General features: G+C 51.6%; 1 pseudogene across 1 annotated transcript; it reads right to left on the reverse strand.

Annotated features, from left to right (window-relative positions):
• Window positions 1–1,934: 1,934 nt before the first annotated feature.
• On the reverse strand, window positions 1,935–2,369 carry LOC390705 (protein phosphatase 2 regulatory subunit B''beta pseudogene; annotated as a pseudogene). The gene has a single exon (NR_033866.1). The product of NR_033866.1 is annotated as a protein phosphatase 2 regulatory subunit B''beta pseudogene (transcript).
• Between the last annotated feature and the right edge of the window lie 2,272 nt (window positions 2,370–4,641).

The raw sequence follows: 4,641 nt of genomic DNA on the forward strand, positions 1-4,641 counted from the left end.
GGTGGGGTGGGCTGGGTCCCTGCATGGGGATCGCCAAGGGGTGATGGCCACGAAATGCCGGGGACCCAAGGTTGTCATTCACAGAGGGTGAGGTGGGGATGCCAGAGGCGCCTCTGCCTGGAACACCCTGGCTTCTGTCCTAGCAGGATGCTGGACGCTGGCCACGGTGAGGGTGATGCAGGTGCTTTTCTTGTGGGGTCCCTGGCCCACCTCACACGTGAGCTCTCAGGGAAATGGACCCCCAGAACACGTGGAGGGCAGGACCGCTGGGCTCTGGGTCTCCCCGCAGTGCTGCCGTCCACGAGGACCCCCCACTTCTCCAGCAAAGGTGTGGGTGTGCATGCCCGGCCCTGGCACAGCCCAGAGCATCTGGGGCCGTGGCTGGGGAAGGACGGGGTGCTTGGGGAATGCAGTGGGTATGGGGATGTCGGAGGACACTCGGGTTGTGCAGGAGCCTCACCAGGGATGTGGGTGGGGGACGCTGTCTTTCGTTTCACAGCCCCAGGGAGGCTTCTGATGTCTCAGCCTTGAACCCTAATTGGGGGGCTCCTAGTGTCAGTGTGGGAAGCTGAGGGTCCCAGTCAGAGGTGAACCCCTCACTTCTGGCCCCTCACTCCCATGACCATGGGCTCCAGCTCATAGGTGTGTGTGAGGGGTGTCCTGAGGTGGTGTGGGGCAGACATGCTCTCCCAGATGGGCTCCCCGGAGCTTGGGGCAGGGTGGGGCCTGCAGGCTGTGGCTCCCAGTGTCACTTCCCTGCAGCAGCCACAGTCAGACTCTCCGGCCCTGCACCTGTCCTGTTGTTGGGGACCCTGACCCTTCGCAGACCCAGGTGGGGGCATCCGGGAATTCAGGGGAGCACCTGGTGACAGAGGACACCTTGGGGGCAGCAGCCATTTCCCTGGGAGGTGCGGCCAGTCTACCCACTGCCTGGAGCCCGCACCGTCTCTCCTCAGGGGTCATGGGACCACCCTGTGCATCCACCTCCTTCACAGCCACAGCTGCCAGTAGATTAACGGGGCGTGTGTGCTGCTCTTGGGGTGGTCCCGGCCCGGCCCGGCCCTGCCCTCCCCACCAAGTGCCCAGGGCCGCCCTGCCCGCCTGTGCCCTGCCCTGTAGATGCTGCCACCTCCCTTTCCTGGGGGAGCATTTTGTCTTGTGTGAGGACGGGGTCATTCCCATGGTCACCACCTGTGACCCTCCCCTGCCTGCAGAGGGAACAGAGCTGGGCCTGGGCTTATCCATGTCGGGTGCCCCTGGGGGACCTGGGGGCTCGTGGCCTCCCCTGCACACAGGGCTCCTCCTGGCGGGGCCTCCGAACACCCTCATTTAGGTGTCGCTGCACGTGGCTCCCAGGTGTGGACGTCCCCACTCTGGCGAGGGCTCCTTCCTTCTGGGGTCGTTTGTGGAATGTGGCCTGGGTCCATGGCTCTGGGAGGGAACAGCCCAAGGGTGGGGACCCCTGGCTGGGGAGGAGGCCCCGCAGAGAGGCCCAGACTGTATCCCGATGCATCTGGCGTGGCCGCGGTCCCCCTCCAGCGCCGACGTTTGTAAATTCTGAAAGGAGCCATGCTGTGGCTGAGGGAGCCAAGCCCGTGACTGAAAAATCCTCCAAACATTCATTCAAAAATACAAGTGTGATCGCCAGAAACGCTTTTGTACATTTACACAAAACATTCATACAGGCCATGGCGGAGGCTCCTGTCTAGGACTGGCAAGGCGCCCGGGAGCCGCCGGTCACCCTTGTGCCTACACAGACCCTTTCCAGAAAGATGCAGGCCCTGGAACTGAGGCCGGGTCAAGTCGGGAATGGCAAGTGCCAGAGGGTGTCAGTGTGGGAACCTGTCCTGTTCACGAGCGGCCCTACATGTCCCCCGGGCACAGAGCTCTAGGCAGGTCCAGCCACGAACCCACAGCGGCAATCAACACGCTTCTGTGAATAAATAAAAATTTATCATTCCATGCAAACACACTCATTTTCCACAAAAGACAACAGTTTTTACACAAGCGGCGGTGTCCCAGTGGTGGCCGTGGCACGTGTGGAGCGGCCCCGCAGCGGCGTTCTCATGGGTGGCGTCACAGTGGCTCCAGGTCCTCATCCCCGCATGCATACTCGTACAGGTCCACGGCGCCCAGGGGTGAGGGCACCTCGAAGAAGGGCCTCTGGGCCAGCGGGGACTGCAGCGCACTCAGCTTCTGCTCCACAGGTCTGAGCTCGGCCTCGAACCTGCAACGAGGGGATGGTGAAGACGTGGACAGCGGCGTGGAGCAGGCCCTGGGCCCTGTTTTCCGAGAAATGCAGGCTGCTCCGCAGCCAACCTCCAGCACGAGAAAGTCCCCTGAGCCGACCTTGAGCTCCAGCCGCTGACCCCGCAACAGGCTCCTGGCTGAGAAAGCCGGCTCCACCAACGCTCCCGGGGGAGGGGCCAGCGGTGCAGGTGAAAACCCACCCAGGACGGGACGGAGCCCCAGGCATGAGGTGCACAGAGAGGAACCGGGCGGGCTCATCTTTTCCCCAAAGCGACACGACGGTGACTCTCAGAGGGCAGCCTCTGAGCTGCAAGGGGCCTGTGTTTACACAACTGGGTCATGGTGTCTACACAGGATTGGAGAACAAACGGGACCACAGTTTGGACAAATTCTCCCAAAGCACAGAAGCTCCTAGTGGAGGCCACCACTTCCATTCTGACCAGAACACACAGCAGTGCGAGGACTGGACGCGCACCTTCCGTTAAGGTCTCGGCAGTGACATCGGGCGCTACTCCGGGGAAACCAGCGCGGCCACCGACAACACAGTCTCATAGAGATCCTGCAGGGACACCTCTGCTTTCCAAGATGCCCCCCACAGCCTGGCACTGAGCTCCCACTGCCGGAGCAGGCATGGACACGGTGAAGGCAGTCAACCCCAGTGTGGTGCTGGCCACTGGTCAGGTGTGGAGCAGAGGTGACAGACGGTGGTGGGGACAGGTGCATACCCATCCAGGCTATGTCTGGGGGACACAGCTGCCTCAGGGTGTCTGGCAGGAGAAGGCAGACTGGGAAGTTCTGGGGGAGTGGGGACCCAGAGGTGGGCTGCCAGGTCAGAGCCACTGTGCAAATAACTGATCACAAGGAGGACAGACACACAGGACAGATGGCCCAGGGTAAGAAATTTCCTCAGGAAAGGCTCTGGTAGAGGAATCACAGTTAGATGAACCAAAGCTTCAAATTCTACATTTTCATACATATATATATATATATATATATACACACACACATATACACAACTTTAGCAATAAAAAACAAGTAGACTTTAATACTCGTATACTTTATAATTCATTTTGGAACTGCCTCATTCTCCCTTTAGCTGGTCACTGTGCACCTCGTGTTCTCAGTCTCTCCACCAAAAAAAAAATTTCCTCAGGAAAGGCTCTGAGAGAGGAATCGTAGTTAGATGAACTAAAGCTTCAAATTCTACATATATATATATATATATTTAGCAGTAAAAACAAGTAGACTTTAATACTCTTATACTTTATAATTCATTTAGGAAAAGAAGGAACACCTTTGCAGCTACTCCTGCTAAGTTACCAAGAGTTTTTTCAATACTAATCTTCACAATTCATATTCAAATACTAAGAATCCCTAATCCCTTTTAAAATACATTTGTATTTCCAATAATTTGATATAGGCTCTCAAAAAGTCATTACATTTTGAGGGTAAAATCGAAACAACCTAAACATTAATGCCAAGTAATGAATATAATAGTTCACACATATTAAACAGTTAATTCATATGTGTAATACATTGTTACATATATACTTATACACAAAAACAAACATGTATGTGTATAAAATCTCAACAAATCCGATAAGAATTATTAGAACTAGTAATTAGACACTGTTGTTCTACTTCTGTAACCCATGATCTTAAACCATTATAGAATAAACCTTAAAAGCAATCATTATTTTCAAAGACAATTTTGAAACTTGCCTTGTGCGAGTTAGTAAATAACTGTGCTCCTTGGTTTCCTCATCTGTTACATGGGTAGAACCTACACTGTTACATAAAGATTAGAGCAGTTAATAGATAGAATATTTTAGTATTTATAGATCTAGAATATAAAAAGGAATTAATAAGTTTTAAGGAGAAAAAATAAGGGAAAAATAGTCTCATTTTCAAGCCTACTAAACATAAAATGTTTCTTACATTTAATTTATACATGCAGGGTAGGTCACTATACTAAAAATAAAGCACATTTAATTTGAAATTTTAGAAAGGGTAGATTGTTCTTATTTAGAGAATTGCAATACATTTTAATTTGTGAGCAGGAGGTCATGGTGTTATTTAGAAACAGTGACAAGAAACTTTTTTTGGCTATTATAAATGGAAATGGAAAAAAAGAAAGAAAAGCCAAGAGTAGTCATTTGACTCCAAGAAGTAGTTTTTAAAAACTATTTCATTTGATTATCAGCTTCAGTTTCAAACGTTATATATCTGATAAACAAAACACAAAGGAAAAGCTTGATAATTAACAAAAAACTCTATAGTATTTCCTTTTTTTCATCTTTTTCCAGGTCAGACTCTTGCAAGCACTGGGAAATTAGTGTTTATTTAAGATTTAATGACAATGTTAATGCCACTGTCAATCTGTATTCTTTA

This window comes from Homo sapiens, chromosome 16 (genome assembly GCF_000001405.40).
Source record: "Homo sapiens chromosome 16, GRCh38.p14 Primary Assembly".
NCBI classification, from domain to species: domain Eukaryota; kingdom Metazoa; phylum Chordata; class Mammalia; order Primates; family Hominidae; genus Homo; species Homo sapiens.